The sequence below is a fragment of the Homo sapiens genome, chromosome 8 (assembly GCF_000001405.40).
Source record: "Homo sapiens chromosome 8, GRCh38.p14 Primary Assembly".
NCBI lineage: Eukaryota > Metazoa > Chordata > Mammalia > Primates > Hominidae > Homo > Homo sapiens.
In genome coordinates this window covers 60,282,087-60,298,567 of record NC_000008.11, presented here as the reverse complement: position 1 = coordinate 60,298,567, position 16,481 = coordinate 60,282,087, and the positions used below count along the sequence as shown (strand labels likewise).

The following is a 16,481-nucleotide window of genomic DNA, read 5'->3' as shown; positions in this document are numbered from 1 at the left end:
TATATCTAAATCTTTCTTGAAACTATAAATTTGTCAACATATATAATTTTTCTAGGCTTAGTAATTGCATAAAGTAGACTTTTTCATATTTCTTAAAATTACATCTTTTAATCTCCAAGAGGAACTTTCTTAATTTTATTATTCCAGGATTTGGTAAACACATCTATCTCTAATGTACAGACACCGCATAATTTACCAACTAGAATGTGCCTGGATATCTCCTTGGAAACTTTAATTAGGGTCTGATTTTGTGGGTGTTTGTCCATTGGATTTATCTAGCTATATCCACAAGGGATTCCTTTTCCAACTTATGCTATGAAAACTCGCATTTTTTTGCACAAATTGGTTTGGTCCCATAACAATCATCTGTTAGTACCAAAGCAGTTACGAAAAGAAAAAAAGGGGGTGGGGGGTGGAATTGCATTTCAGTCTATTGGAAAAGGAGACAGGCCTGGATATTCTTGGAAGCCAAGAAGACAAAAGTTTCTTTTCAATAGATGCAAAGAAAGACAGTTCTGTATTTTTGTGTAACCAAGAAACAAAAGTTTCCTGTTGGTAAGATGTTCTGGAATGCAGCAGGGGCCATTTTCTCATAGTCATCCCCAAGGCACAAGGTTTCTATCAACCCCAAATACAGAAGGGTTTGGATGTGTGTGTGAGTCAGGAACACAAGGTCCTCATCAGGCTTCCCTTACAGAGGGGAAGGTTATCCAGGCTGGAGCAGTTCCCAGGGAGGACAAAATTAATGGTTTAAAAATATAAAATAATAATGAATTCAGATCTTTTGTGGTTTAGAGGCGCTCTGTAAGAATAGGACTTTGGACTTCAAAATGTGCAGCATATGAAACAATACATTTCAGTTATTTTTTTTGCCTGAAAGCTTTTTTTTTTTTTTTTTTTTTGAGACAAAGTCTCATTCTGTCACCCAGGCTGGAGTGCAGTGGTGCAATCTTGGCTCATTGCAACCTCCACCTCATGGGTGAAAGCGATTCTCCTTCCTCAGCTTCCCACGTAGCTGAGATTACAGGTGCATGCCACCACACCCAGATAATTTTTGTATTTTTAGTAGAGACAGGGTTTTGCCATGTTGGCCAGGCTGGTCTGAAACTCCTGACCTCAAAGGACCTGCCTGCTATGGCCTCCCAAAGTGCTGGGATCACAGGTATAAGCCACTGTGCCCAGCCCTGAAAGCTTTCTAAATGATTCTCGGTAGACCCAGAATTTTCATTTTAGAGAGTCAAAGGTATGGAGTTTCCCAAACATTTGTTATCAGTTATTTTTTTAAATAGTAAGATCTAGTTATGTGAATTAGTCGATAAGCATTTGCTGAGTGCCTACTATGGGCCTGACTCTTACTAGGTCTTAGGGATTTGAAGATGAATAAAGTGTAGTTGCTGTCTTTGTGGAGTGTATACTCAAGTGCCAGAGAAAGACATATAAGCAATGATTACGAAGCAAATGTTTCAAGAATACCAAATGCCTTGTAAAGTGTGGGAATCAGGGAAGGCTTCATAAGAAGAAATAATTTGAGCAGTGTTTTATAGGCAATGAGGGATGAAGGTAGGCTGAGGAGGGGAAGAATGGGAAGAGGAGTGAAAGGCGTTCTACATTTGGGCTGAGGGAACAACATTGTAATTCACATAATTAAAAATGCACAGTATATCTGGAGACCACCAAATTCCTGGCACTGGTTGTTATAAGAGGTAGGTTCAATCAATTGAGATCCTGGGTGGAGGGCATGGAAGTTTTGAGAGCATGGGATTTTGGGATGAAGAGAGAAGTCAAGGGAGGGACACAGGTCGGGAGGCAATTGCAGTAGTCAAGAATAGAATTGATGAGGTCAAATGAGCTAGCATCCTCATTCTCTACTCTGTATATCAGCAGGGATCTGAAACATTTTAAATGTCAAATTCATTAAAAAATATATTTTAGCTTGTCAGCATCAATTGGCATCTATTTATTGATTGTTCATCATGTTCCTGGAGTCACAACATTCTATGATTGTAGTAATGGAAGTCACCATCATTGAAGCTAGACGTTTTGTACATATTCTAATTTTACCACTTATTGTTTCTGTTATGTTGGGAAAGTCACATAGATTCTCTGAGCCTCAGTTTCCTCATCTCTAAAATGGAGATAATGACATTTACATCACAGAGCTGTTCTGAGGGTTAAGAGAGTAAATAAGCCCAGCACTACCTGGTGCTGATGTGCTCACCCCTGCACCTGCCCTAACCCCTTGCCATGCCTGGGTGTGAAGTGTGATTTTCCTGTGACTGTTTATAGGCTTTTCATTGAATTTATTTAAATAACCTTTAAAATTTTGTGGCATCTCTGGGGAAATGGGAAACATTTGTGGGATGGTTTAGTTGAGGTTTGCTCTATCTAGTTCGTTGATTTCTAGCCCAGTGACTCCTAGTCCTATTATATATTGACATCCATTGGAAGAGCTTTTAAAAATTATGATTCTTGGCTCTCACCACCTCCCACAGTTTAGAATCACTTCTAATTCATTTAAAGAAATTCTTCTTAAGAGCACACTGATTTGGGGCCATTGTGTTAATTTTTCACACAGATTATAGTCACTGATCTCAGAAAATCTGAATGAGGTCCACAAGACGCCCTTTCATAATCTGTGTTAAATTTGCAGGATCATGTTGAAAATTTGGAATAGCATTTAACTTGTCATAAGACTGTTCACAATACCTTTTTGGCCCAGTCAGTTTCATTGTGAGAGATTTCTTTTCTGGTCATAAAATGAGTTAATTTTTTTTCTGACAGAAATCACATACTACAGTTATTGAATTTCATTCACTTGCAATGACTTTAAGAATTGGTATAGATTAATTTCTGATCTCAGGTGATCCACCAGCCTTGGCCTCCCAAAGTGCTGGGATTACAGGTGTGAGCCACTGCGCCTGGCTGAGATCATGCCATTGCACTCCAGCCTGGGTGACAGAGCAAGACTACATCTCAATTAAAAAAAAAAGTATAGATTAAAATACTCTGTATTTCTGGGCAAGACACAGCTCTATAGATGTTAGTAAAACATAAGACTGTTGGAAAAACAGACAGTGAAGCTACTATAGTCATTACTGGAAGTATTTGGATTTTTCATTGGGTTATAAACATCTAGGGTAACCCCACCAATTACAAGAGAACTCTTACAGAGTCCCAGTTAAGAGTATCCAAGAAAGTGTATTGTCAGAATAAGCCCTGGAAACCCAGAGAGCAACAATTAGAAAAGGAAAGAAAACTTTGCCAAAATTCAAGGTTGGGAATTTCTAGTTAGAGAAATGCTGAATGGTTCTACAGACAGTGGAAAAAATGCTAAGCATCAAAAAGAGACCTGAACCTGGTCTTTGTAGGGTCCAGCCCTACGGGGCTTAGCGAGTGTTCTCCCCGTATGCAGAGATGAGAGATTGTAATAAATAAAGATGCAAGACAAAGAGATAAAGAGAAAACAGGTGGGCCCGGGGGACCACTACCATCAAGACGTGGAGACGGGTAGTGGCCCCGAATGGCTGGGCGTGCTGCTATTTATTGCATACAAGACAAGGGGGTCAGGGTAAGGAGGGTGAATCTTCTAAGTGATTGATAAGGTGAAGCAAGTCATGTGATCATAGGACAGGGGGCCCTTCCCTTTTAGGTAGCCGAAGCAGAGAGAGAAGGCAGCATATGTCAGCGTTTTCTTCTATGCACTTATCAAAAAGATCAAAGACTTTAAGACTTTCACTATTTCTTCTACCACTATCCACTAAGAACTTCAAAGAGGAACCAGGAGTATGGGAGGCACATGAAAGTGGACAAGGAGCATGACCACTGAAGCACAGCACCACAGGGAGGGGTTTAGGTCTCCAGATGACTGCGGGCAGGCCTGGATAATATCCAGCCTCCCACAAGAAGCTGGCAGAGCAGAGTGTTCCCTGACTCCTCCAAGGAAAGGAGATTCCCTTTCACAGTCTGCTAAGTAACGGGTGCCTTTCCAGGCACTGGCATTACCGCTTGACCATGGAGCCCTCAAGAAGCCCTTATGCTGGCGTGACAGAAGGCTCACCTCTTGCCTTCTTGGTCACTTCTCACAATGTCCCTTCAGCACCTGACCCTATACCCGCTGGTTATTCCTTAGTTATATTAGTAACACAACAAAGAGAAATATTAAAAGCTAATGATTAATAACGTCTATACTAATGATTGATAATGTCCATGATCATCTCTATATCTAATTTGTATTATGACTATTCTTATTCTAACTATTTTCTTTATTATACTGAAACAGTTTGTGCCTTCAGTCTCTTACCTCGGCACCTGGGTAATCCTCTGCCCACAGGTCTTGGCTTTCTACAGGGGTGTAAACTTGGGAAAATCACATGACATTTCTGAGCACTGCCTTTAAAATTAAGGTATCTTCAAGATCTCTTCTGTCAGGAAAATCACGATAGACATTTAAAGTAGGCAAAAGAGATGCTTGGGTGTTCTTTCAATAGGAAGTTGGGCATTGTCCAAGGGTCCCTCCCAAGGTACTGTGATTCTTTTGGGGCTGTGAACCATTGATTGTCTTTGATTATTTTGCAACTCTGTAGACATAGATAGAAAGGGTGCCTTAAAGTCATTAGTTTATAACTTTACTGAGTGGCTACTATAGGCGGGAACCTACTAGATCTTGGAAATGCAAAGATAAATGAGATAGGTTTCTGATCAGTTCCTACCCTAAAAGAGACACATAGACTCATTAATATTGAGTCTTCCTGCACCTATTCCCCTGCCATCCCCCCTTCCTGTAACCTACCCAGGGAAAGGGAATGGATCAAAGAAGGAACATTATGCAAAAAGGCATGGTGGGCATGAAAAGAACCTTGGATATTTTGTAGTTAATAAGTCTTGTGTGGTTGGAGTTTTGGGTCACTTATAAAGAGCAAATTTAATGAGGCTAAGTGGCAAGATTTGGCTATCCTTTTTTAAGGTCCTTTTATTCTGTACTCAGGAGAGGGGATCTTACATGCTGCATGCAGCAGGAAGTCAGCAGCGATTTTTCATCAGGAAAGAGATATGATGTGAACTCTACCATTGATATCAAAGATGAGCAATGGAGGATGGAGTGTGGGCGCACTCGTCCAGGTGAGAGTGGATAGATTTTTAACTGTGGCAGTAACTGTGAGGATAACAAGAAAGGCAGGGGTTGTGCGACATGTTTTGAAATGATTTGGAATTAGCAGGGTTGAATTAGAGAGAAACACTGGAGTTGTGAGGGAAAGAAGTATGGGGTGATTCCATGCTTTCCAGACTGGATGAATGGTAGCTTCCCTAGCTGCAACAAAGAACATAAGAAAAGCAAGGTGTGAGGGCAAGTGGGGTGAGCTGGCAATGAGTTTAGTTTTAGACATGTGATTTGAGCAGCAACTTAGTTGTGAAACTAATTTGCATTTGCATAATTATTTACAACGTTCAGGAAACCTCATATATATTGACTTTTATTTGTTTGACAGTTGTGAGTTGATGAGAGTGCTAATGTCTTAGTGAATGAATGTGGATGAAACAACATGTGTGTGCAGTTCTCAGAATAAAGGCACACGAGGTTGTTTTTTGATTTACAGTCAGGGCTTCTGTATATCAGGCTTCCTTGTTGATGGCTCTGTGTGAAACCCAAAAGCCCCCCATCTATAGGACATTTTCCAATGGTTATATGATTTCTAAAGCCTGTTTCTCATGGTTATAACATTGAAGAATTTTGAGTGTGGGTATACTATTTTCAAAGTTCTATGTTCCTTGAGCACAAAGACCAATTCTAGTCATCATGGTATCCCAAGCCTTTAGGACAGTGTCGGCCGGGCGCGGTGGCTCACGCCTGTAATCCCAGCACTTTGGGAGGCCGAGGCGGGCGGATCACGAGGTCAGGAGATCGAGACCATCCCGGCTAAAACGGTGAAACCCCGTCTCTACTAAAAATACAAAAAATTAGCCGGGCGTAGTGGCGGGCGCCTGTAGTCCCAGCTACTTGGGAGGCTGAGGCAGGAGAATGGCGTGAACCCGGGAGGCGGAGCTTGCAGTGAGCCGAGATTGCGCCACTGCACTCCAGCCTGGGCGACAGAGCGAGACTCCGTCTCAAAAAAAAAAAAAAAAAAAAAAAAAAGGACAGTGTCTTCCAGAGTACCTAATCAATAAATATCACCTGGATGAATGGATGTATGATTGAGCATGCTGAAGTCAGTAAAGCTTAGGTAGAGCAGTGTCGTTATAGTATTGACAGACTGCCCAGAAGAACCCCAGGACTTAAGTGTTTGTATTCTCATTGTGTCCTTCAATGTGCAGAAAGCTCATATCTCAAAAGATCTTCTGGCCTTCTTCCTATGACCTCAGCTCCATGATGGACCCGCTGATTACCTCTGTCACTCTTGAAATGTAAATATCATCTCCTATTTATGTGATCATGGGTTAAGGAGGCTTAGAGATAACTAGTCCCAAATGCATGTGGGTGTCTAAAACCAGACTATCTTGATGTCAAGTACCTAGAGCTACTGCTGATTACCAGCAGGTCTTATTTTTATCTGTGGTCTCTAAGGGATATAGATATGTTACTAGGACGCTCAATATGTTTGAAATCCTTAAGTGACAAATGATTCTTGCATTGTTTTATACACTTTGAGCAATGTCACAAATGTATAAATCATCATGACATTCCTGAGTATGAATACAATAAAAATATATGAACAGTACTCAAACTAATGATAATAAAAATTAAATCAAACATGAAATGATCTAAGAAAATATACAGATAATATACACCAACCATTTCTTATAATAGCTATAAAAATAATAATTACATTATCTTAGTACTTATTACATGCCAGAGACAGTCAGTTTTGCTATAATGTAACACGCATTCCCGAAAACTACTGCACTATGCAAAATTGGCAATAACAATCACAGGGTTTATGGGGAAAATGAGTTTAGGGGCACAACAGTCAAAAACCTCACTAGGTACACGTTAAAAACAACAACAAAAAGGAACATAATAAAATGGCAGTAGTTTGTTACACATGTTCAATGGTTAAGAAAGGTATAAATGCTGAAATAAGTATCCATTTTAACTAGGAAAAGACCTGATGCTTGCCTGTGGAAGTGAGTATCACTGTACCTTGTGAGTTACTGTGAAGGGATAGAAGGAGGGTTAGCTGAAATGTGACCAGCAGTTGTAGCACCTGATGAGCATGGGGGATGGCTCACAGCACACAGTGAACTGAGGTAGTTGGCAGGTGTTTGAGGTGTGTATATGTGCGCGTTTTGTGCATTCCCTGCATGACCCAGTTCAACTGGCTGCAGTTTTCTGTATTTCCAATAAATGAAGGTGGCATAAACAAGCATGGAAGTCTCATTGTGCTCAAATTGTTCCCTAATATATCAATTTCATTGGAACAAATTTGCATTTTCAAAACAAGCATTCTAGTAGAACTGACTGTTCTAGTTCAAGTGCTTTATCTATATTAACTCGTTTAATCCTCCCAACAGTTATTTTGGTTTGGTACTATTATGGTTCTCATTTAATTGGTGAGGAAATTAAGGCAAAGAGACGTTAAATAACTTGATCAAGATAAAAACTTATTAAGTGACAAAACCAGTGTGCTACTCTGCCTTCCAACATATTATATTATGCTAATGACATTCATACATTTAATAAGATAAGTGTTTCTCCCAGACTTTTGAAGTTAGATTTATTTTGGAGAGGTTCACTTTAAATAATTCTTAATATCTGATAATTATGTTACTTAAATCTCTGATGTAGTTTTTGTTGCAGGAAGTCAGGGACCCCAAACGGAGGGACCGACTGAAGCCATGGCAGAAGAACGTGGATTGTGAAGATTTCATGGATATTTATTAGTTCCCCAAATTAATACTTTTATAATTTCTTATGTCTGTCTTTACTGCAATCTCTAAACATAAGTTGTGAAGATTTCATGGGCACTTATCACTTCCCCAATCAATACCCTTGTGATTTCCTATGCCTGTCTTTAATCTCTTAATCCTGTCATCTCGTAAGCCGAGGAAGATGTATGTCACCTCAGGACCCTGTGATAATTGCATTAACTGCACAAATTGTAGAGCATGTGTGTTTGAACAACATGAAATCTGGGCACCTTGAAAAAGGAACAGGATAACAGCAATGTTTAGGGAACAAGAGAGATAACCTTAAACTCTGACCACCAGTGAGCCGGGAGGAACAGAGCCATATTTCTCTTCTTTCAAAAGCAAATGGGAGAAATATCGCTGAATTCTTTTTCTCAGCAAGGAACATCCCTGGGAAAGAGAATATGCGCCTGGGGGTAGGTCTATAGATGACCCCCTGGGTGTGGCCGTCTTTTATGGTCTGTAGACTGTAGGGGTGAAATAGACCCCAGTCTCCCATAGCGCTCCCAGGCTTATTAGGAAGAAGAAATTCCTGCCTAATGAATTTTGGTCAGACCGGTTGCTCTCAAAACCCTGTCTCCTGATAAGATGTTATCAATGACAGTGGTGCCTGAAACTTCATTAGCAATTTTAATTTCGCCCTGGTCCTGTGGTCCTGTGATCTCGCCCTGCCTCCATTTGCCTTGTCATATTCTATTACCTTGTGAAGTGCTTGATGTCTGTGACCCACACCCTATTCGTATACTACCTCCCCTTTTGAAACTCCCTAATAAAAACTTGCTGGTTTTGTGGCTTGTGGGGCATCACGGAACCTACTGACATGTGAAGTCTCCCCCAGATGCCCAGCTTTAAAATTTCTCTCTTTTGTACTCTGCCCCTTTATTTCTCAAACTGGCCAATGCTTAGGGAAAACAGAAAAGAACCTACATGACTATCAGGGCAGGTTCCCCGATAGTTTTAGCACATTTTTCTGTTGTTATCTCCACTGTCAAGGTGGGAAATATCAAGCTATCATGTCGTGTTAATGCCCCTTAAATAATTGAGGACCAGTTGAAAGCAGTGTAGTCAGTCTTTAGTGCTCAGCATGTACTCAGCACCAAGCTTGACTGTCTCTCATCATTGATAATTATGCTAAAAGTTATATTCAGTGAAGTCTAATCAATGGGGTTCCAATCATAATGTAAACATGCTGTGCTCCATTAGCATTAGAAATGTTTACTGCCTTGTGTATTTCATTAGTGTCCCTGGTTCCTCCTCATTACACAAACTCTTTATGGAATAGAAATATTTAGCATAAAACATCTTGAATGCTTTCTGTTTTTGAGGAGTAGCTTTTTAGATTGCTAAGTATGCACTTAACCATTCATATCCCATGGAGAATTGGTTGCAAATGTGAATGGATGAATAACTAATGACACTTTGAATGGGATTTTTGGCACAATAGTGACTAAAAGCTGACTCTGAGGTGTGAGGTGGGAAAGGGTTATGGATCTCTGGCTTTAAAGCTGGTTAGACCTAGGTTCAAATCTTAACTCCTCCACTTGTTAGCTGTGTGATCATGGGAAAAACACTTCTCTGTGTTTCAGTTTCATCTGTAAATACCTTTGTCATGTTATTATGAATTAATTAGCTAAATCATGTTGCACACATAATATATAATAGGTAATTAGTAAATCAACCTCCAATAAGAGAGAACTCTGCAACCTATCAACAGACATCAGTTCCTGGGTTGTTGGTCTGAGTGGTACAAGCCTGAGGTTTAAGGTAAGTGGTGGACAGGGAGCCATGAGACTCAAGGCAGCAAAGCTAGCGAATGGGCTAAAACTGACAGGGGCCACGAGGACAGGCGGGGAGAGGCCAGACTTGTAGCACGCAGAGATCGACTAAGATGTGCTGGACAGGAGGGCTAGATTGGGAACAAATCTCTCCAACATAGGATTCCAGCCACTGATTCTCTTTTCTGTACCTGTGCATAGAATGTACAACACAGGATGGTCTCGATCTCCTGACCTCGTGATCCGCCTGCCTCGACCTCCCAAAGTGCTGGGATTACAGGCATGACCAATATGGTGAAACCCCATCTCTACTAAAATATAAAAAAAATTAGCCAGGTGTGGTGGCACGTGCCTGTAGTCCCAGCTACTCAGGAGGCTGAGGCAGGAGAATCGCTTGAACCCATGAGGCAGAGGTTGCAATGAGCCGAGGTCACACCACTGCACTCCAGCCTGGCGACAGAGTGAGACTCTGTCTCAAAAAAAAAAACAAAAAAAAAGAATGTACAACACAAAACAGTGATCTTTAATGTAAGCTATGGACTTCAGTTAATAATAATGTATAAATATTTGTTATATCAATTGTAACAAATGTATGACACTAATGTTAATAATAGGGGAAATGGGTGAGGGGAGGGGGTGTATGAGAACTCCGTACTTTCCATTCAATTTTTCTTTAATAAGAAACTGCTCAAAAAAAGAAAGTCATCTGGGCACAGCAGCTCATGCCCGTAATTCCAGCACTTTGGGAGGCTGAGGCAGGTGGATCACTTGAGGTCAGGAGTTCAAGACCAGCCTTGCCAACATGGTGAAACCCGTCTCTACTAAAAATACAAAAATTAGCTGGATGTGGTGGCAGGTGCCTGTAATCCCAGTTACTTGGGAGGCCGAGACAGGAGAATCGCTTAAACCCAGGAGGCGGAGGTTGCAGTGAGCTGAGATCGCACCCTGCAGTCCAGCATGGGTGACAGAGCAAGACTGCCTCAAAAAAAAAAAAAAAAAAAAAAAAAAAAAGAGAAAAAGAAAGTCTGCCAATAAAAAAAAAAATTTCTCTTGTAGTTTTCCAACCTAGCTTCCTTTATTCCTCCTTTTTGGACCCTTCTAACCATAGCAGCCAAGACTGGTCCAACATATCTCATGGTTTACCCAGGAAGGATGCAATTGGACTGGAGTGTGCATGTGAGTTGGTGTTTGATTCCCAACAGCGTTTGGTGGATATGGAGTGCCTTGGCTGAATTCACCCTCTCTGAAGGCAGTAGGGTTTGGTGGCCAGGAGCATGGATTCTGGAGTGAGACAGACCTCTCAGACCATTCACTGCTTCTGTCTGTGGTGGGGGACGCATCTAAACTTCCATTTTCTCATCTGAACACTGCATGAGATTATTGAGCTTCTTAAGAGAATTAAAGAGAATAATCTGTGGGAAGTGTCTGGCATGATATCTGGTTCATAGGAAGTGTTGCTTCTGTTGTTTAGCTGCATAATAAGCCACTCCAAAGCTTAGTGGCTGAAAACACTGATTTATTATTTCTCATGATTCTGTGGGCCAGGAATTCAGGCAGCACTCTGATGGGCATTTTATCTGATCCACATAGTGTCAGCTGCATTCAGCTGGTGGCTAAACTGGGTTGGAAGATCTGAGAGAGCTTTACTCACGTGACTGTGCCTCAATGTTCCTCCACATGTCTTTTCACTCCCTGTGGCTGGCTTAGGTTGGGTTTTTTCACAGCATAGTGGTCTCAGGATTTCTTACATGTTGACCGGTTTTTGAGAGCAAAGAGAAATTGTCCAGCCCTCTTAAAGGTTCAGCCCCAAACTGGCATAGTGTCACTCTATGACAGTCCAATGGAGATGAAACAAGTCATAAAACCAGCTGTGGTTCCACTTCAAGGGGAAATAGTCTCCCCTGTAAACCGGAAGAACAGCACATGCCTACTGAGGGCGGGAATTACGGCAGCCATCTTTGGAGGTGACCACAGCGCTCAAGTTTTTATTTTCCTGTGCTTTGGTTTGCTGTCTTGCCTAAAAGGCATAGCAGCATCTTTGACAGCCAACAGCATGCTGTAGGGCAGAGTGAGCTGTGGGAACTAAGGTATAGGTGTGGCCTTGAGGCTATTCTAACTTGGCACCTTCTCTTAAAGTCAACAAGGTCCAATACATTTTCTCTTAAAGTCAACAAGGGTCCAATACATTTTCAGTATTGCCATTCTGCCAACAACGGGCACTGACTTAAGCATTCCATCTGCTTTGTATTTTATCTCATGTCATTATTGTTTTGAAACATGTTTTAAAAAAATACTAAAACAAACATAGACATACTATTTCAATATGTTGTTTTCCCTTTTATTAATACCATGGAAAAAAGAAAATTAACTTGATCAAAAAAGTGAACCCACACTGGCTTCTATATGTGAGCTTTTGTTTTTTCTTTTATTGGAATGTCTTTCTTTTTTTCCTTCTTTTTTCTTATCAGTCTACATCATGCTTTGAGGAACGTATTTTTTTTTTTACCTCCTCCCCTTCCGTTTCTGAGGGTAAAGCAGCACTTATTTATCTCCCAAGGCTCAGCTTCCAAGTCACTTCCTTTATGAAGCCCCTATTGACACATCTGCCACCAGGTAAACTTGATCACTCCCCTTTTTTGTGGCTTTACTGTGCCTTGAAAGCTTCCACCTTAGTAACCACAACTTTTATTTGCACTAATATATTTATCCAGGCTAATCAGGTTACTGTATGGCTGATGGCACAGGGAAACGAATTCCTAAGTGCCTACCATGTGCTACATGGGGGCACACAAAGCAGCATCGTTGTTCACACCTGGAATGTTATTTGCTCACATGCTGCCCACCCAAACTGTACCCATTTCCTTTAGTTTGCCTCAAATGCCATCTTTTCCAAGAAACTTTTCTGAATCATTCCCATTAGTATGAAAATCCCATCTTCCTTAAATGTAGTGGTACCTGCATTTCTATTTAACATATTTCTTGTATTATCATTATTTACTTGTATTATAGTTATAATTATTTACTTGTATTATAGTTTTAATAATTATAATTATTTACTCCTCTCCTCCCCCAGAGAACTGTGAATTTCTCGAGAGCAGAAGCAGTATTTTATTCCTTTTTTTTTTGGTTCTCCCACAGTGCCTAGTGCCTTGCTCTTTGGGAGCTCATTGTTTAGAGGAGAAGGTCATAAAATACATATTTAAAATACAATCTTAACTTCAGGGTTAGAGATCTATACAGGGCATTGTGAAAGCACTAAGAAGAGGTAACTTTAACCTCTGTGGCTTAAACACATAAGGGGTTTTGTTTGGCAGAAGGTGCCCTAGAGCTTTTGGTGACTTGGGAGTCACCAATGTAATTATCTTAAATATTCCTATTTCAGCATAAGTCATTTTGGTGCTGAATTCATGTAGGGCCTCAGGCATAATTCGCATGGTCTGAGAGAGGGGAAGAGAGCTGCGGTCCATGTTCCTTAGAGAAGATGGGGATTTTCTATGGATAAGGGCTTTCTCATTCTGCCATGAAGTGGTAAGGGCCCTAGCTGGGGTTAGGGCGTCCAAGAAATTGGTGAGGTGAAGATAAGAGCACTGTACTAGACTGTTTGGTTTCTTTGCAGGCCAGAGATACTTTTTTTTTTTCTTTGAAGAAAAAGATAAAGGCAAAAACAGCATTTGAGCAAATAAAAATTATCCTTGAACTCACCTTTACTTGATGGGCTACTATGTCTGTTTTTGATAACGCCTAAATCTTTCTTCTAGGAAATGGCACGTGCCACCTCTACTCATATTTAATTCGTCAAAGAAGTCACATGGTCAAGCAGTGAAGGGGCAGCAAATGATAGAGACAATGATGTCATCTCCAATGACTACATGGAGCCCTAGTCGTTTGTTTCTGAAGATAAAAGACCAAGAAGAGGTCAAAAAAAAGGAGGCTCGTAAATGTAACTTTAAGCAGGTGAAATAAAAGATTAATCAGTTGAAAAAAGTAATTTAAAAGGAAGAAGTAAATTTTTTTATCAACAAAGTTTGAAACCTTCAGAAATCAAAATATATATAATGAAGAAAATTTTGCTGTCTTTCCTGACAAAAGAAAAACTAGACATAAGGAATTAAACAACCATAGGAAAAAGTGCCTTACCTGAGACATAAGCCTAGAGAAGTGCTTATTTTTAGTGTATCTGAATTGGTTTTGGCAGTCACAGATGGCATTTAAGGGAGCAAATAGATCCGCAATGAGCACTTGCATGATTCGGCATCTTTGTTCACACCTGGAATGTTATTTGCTCACATGCTGCCCACCCAAACTCTGCCCATTTCCTCTAGTTTGCCCCAAATGCCATCTTGTTCAACTTTTCTAAATCATTCCCATTAGTATGAAAATTCCATCTTCCTTAGATGTAGTGGTACCTGCATTTCTATTTAACATATTAATATTGCGTATTGCCTTGTATTATAATTATTTACCCCTCTCCTCCCTCCAGAGAACCATGAGTTCCTTGAGAGCAGAAGAAGTATTTTATTTTTTATTTTTGGTTCTCCCACAGTGCCTAGTCCAGAGCAGCGCACATGAAGGAACCCAATTCATTGCTGTTGAAGTTTATGAATTACAGTTTGTATAGGAGCCACGTGACATGCATATGTTAGCTGTACCCTTGAGGTGATCCCAGAGCATAAGATGCACATAAGAGGAGGTCAAATTTATGACTCTAGGGCCTAGACTCACCGATACAATAAGAAAGCTTTGGTACGGTAGACAAGCAGTGAGGAAAGACAGGAGCGGGCTGTCTAGGTTGTGGACTCTGGGAAGCGACCTTAGTACTTTGGTTCCTCTGACATCTAGATTAGTTTGTCCCTTTTAGATATTTCTATTTATATTCTCTTAGTATCAAATGGTAGTTAGTTATATAGGTCTTAGTTTTAATAAATTGTTCTACTAATATGGTTTGGTCTTAGCTATGCAAGCACTAAATGTGAGCAATATAAAGTTAATTTAAGGGATCAAATATAATATTAGGCTGAAAGCCTATTAAAAATTATAGAGGAATATGTGGAAGACACATTCATAATACAGAGTATGAATATTTTTAGATTCTCTGGTATTGGATTTAGATGTGCTTGTTCTATTTTGTAAAACAAAGAATTGCCCTATATCTTTGATCTGTGTGTTTAGATTTTTTTAGTGACAGACACCTTATAATAACTAGAAATAGAAATTCCATCTTTGGTGGTAATATAGTGCAGGGACCTGAGAAGAGAAGGTCTTAAGGTGCTGTTAATTAGCAAAAATCTGAACCCCACAGTCTCAAAGCAATTAAGGCTGTTAATTGAATATTTGGGTGCTTAGAGGATTGGCTCATATGTGGCTGGACAGGGAACCCTAGGCTTGCATACAGGAGTTACATTCTACAAATAATCATGAACAATTCAGAAGGAGCAAATATAGGCCAATGCTAGTAGTCAACTGCATATTTGAATAGTAATACATTGCTGGCTATATGCAAAATTGTCTTTTTACTGTAAAAGTAAATACTAATAATTCAATCTTTCAGCCTATCTTTTGTAAATATGGCACAGTATTTATTCATGGAAAATTCAGTTTTTTACCATGGTGATTGTACCATCCTCTGGTTTGATAAACATCTCTATGATTCACCTGATATTTTAAACACAGTTGGTGGTCACACAATGGCTACAATGTCATACTTAGGCACATTTGGGGGACAGAGGAGAAAGGCCATTGCTGATGAGCTCAGAGTGGCAGTGCTTTTATTATCCAATTCCTTCATAGCCTTTGTATGGGCTTCCTTAGCTGTGGCATTTAATTAACGTGTGAACATACTTCTAAAAAGAAACTTAAAACAAATAGAAGATTACAAAAAAGTTTTCAAGAAAGGAAAAATAAATGTTCCTTTTAGAAGACCTTCAGTGAAAAGTAGTTAATATTTTCAGTAGTGCTTATTATTTTTAATAGCTCTGGCTTTGGGGTAGGCTTCTGCTTCTGCCAGTCCCAGGCTTGCAAAGATGCAAACGACCGTCCACTAAAGAACACCCAGAATGCAGTGAGTGAAAAATGAATTTAGTTTCTCAAACTGTTTCAGTCCTCTGCACAGTTAAGGAAAAGAGAAATTATATGAATGCTTAAAATCCACCGGTTATCCTCCAAGCTAATGTTGGCCAGTAGTTTTCCATATATTTGGTTAAACCTTCCAGAAAGTGGCAGAATTGAGCGAGTTGAGGGTTCCCCCCACTTCTTTCCATCTCAGTGTACTTTCTGGAGCAGTTTGTAATTTTTTTTTTTTAAAAGCTATGAAGTGTCTTTTTAAAAAGTGGAGGTGCTTAGCAGGCAGTAAAGGATATGAGCACTGAAACTAAACATTCCCAAACGGATCATTTCCATCCTTATTTGAGGAATTATGCATTCATAAGGCTGGTGTGATTTAGGAACAGGTTATTCAAAGTGCAAATAGATATCTTCATGAATGACCAGAGCATATAAAAAACAAATTGTACTTAAGGTCCTAACTCGAGTTTATTGTGCACATATATCTTCTAAAAATGTGGAGTTAACCTACTTAGGGGTTACTGACCAGGGCTTTTAAAAGGCACAGGAACAGAGGGCTGAAGTCGTTAACACTAGACTGAGAAGCACGTTTAAGGGTAACAATGCCACCTCTTTGGATCAGAAGAGTTCCTGTTTGTTATGCAATGTGTGCACTTCATTATTTACACGATTTCACTAGGTGAATGGGAGCTGTGTACACAGCCAGGTGAGCCTGCAGCAGCGCCCCAGACTCTGACAGCGAAC

General features: G+C 40.1%; 1 long non-coding RNA gene across 1 annotated transcript in view, besides 1 other annotated feature; it reads left to right on the top strand.

Moving 5' to 3' along the window:
- The window catches only part of LOC105375864 (uncharacterized), a 79,123-nt gene extending 65,520 nt beyond the window's left edge, over nucleotides 1–13,603 (top strand). Inside the window, exon 7 of the long non-coding RNA XR_001745925.1 lies at nucleotides 13,436–13,603. This is a non-coding gene — a long non-coding RNA (uncharacterized LOC105375864). The remainder of the gene's footprint in view (nucleotides 1–13,435) is intronic.
- Nucleotides 13,062–13,708: a transcriptional cis regulatory region, noted in NCBI's record as "candidate enhancer chr8.1767 targeted for multiplex CRISPR interference". NCBI's record gives its function as "positively regulates CA8 gene expression with high confidence in K562 cells {active_cell/tissue: K562}" and the evidence as "EXISTENCE:mutant phenotype evidence [ECO:0000015][PMID:30612741]".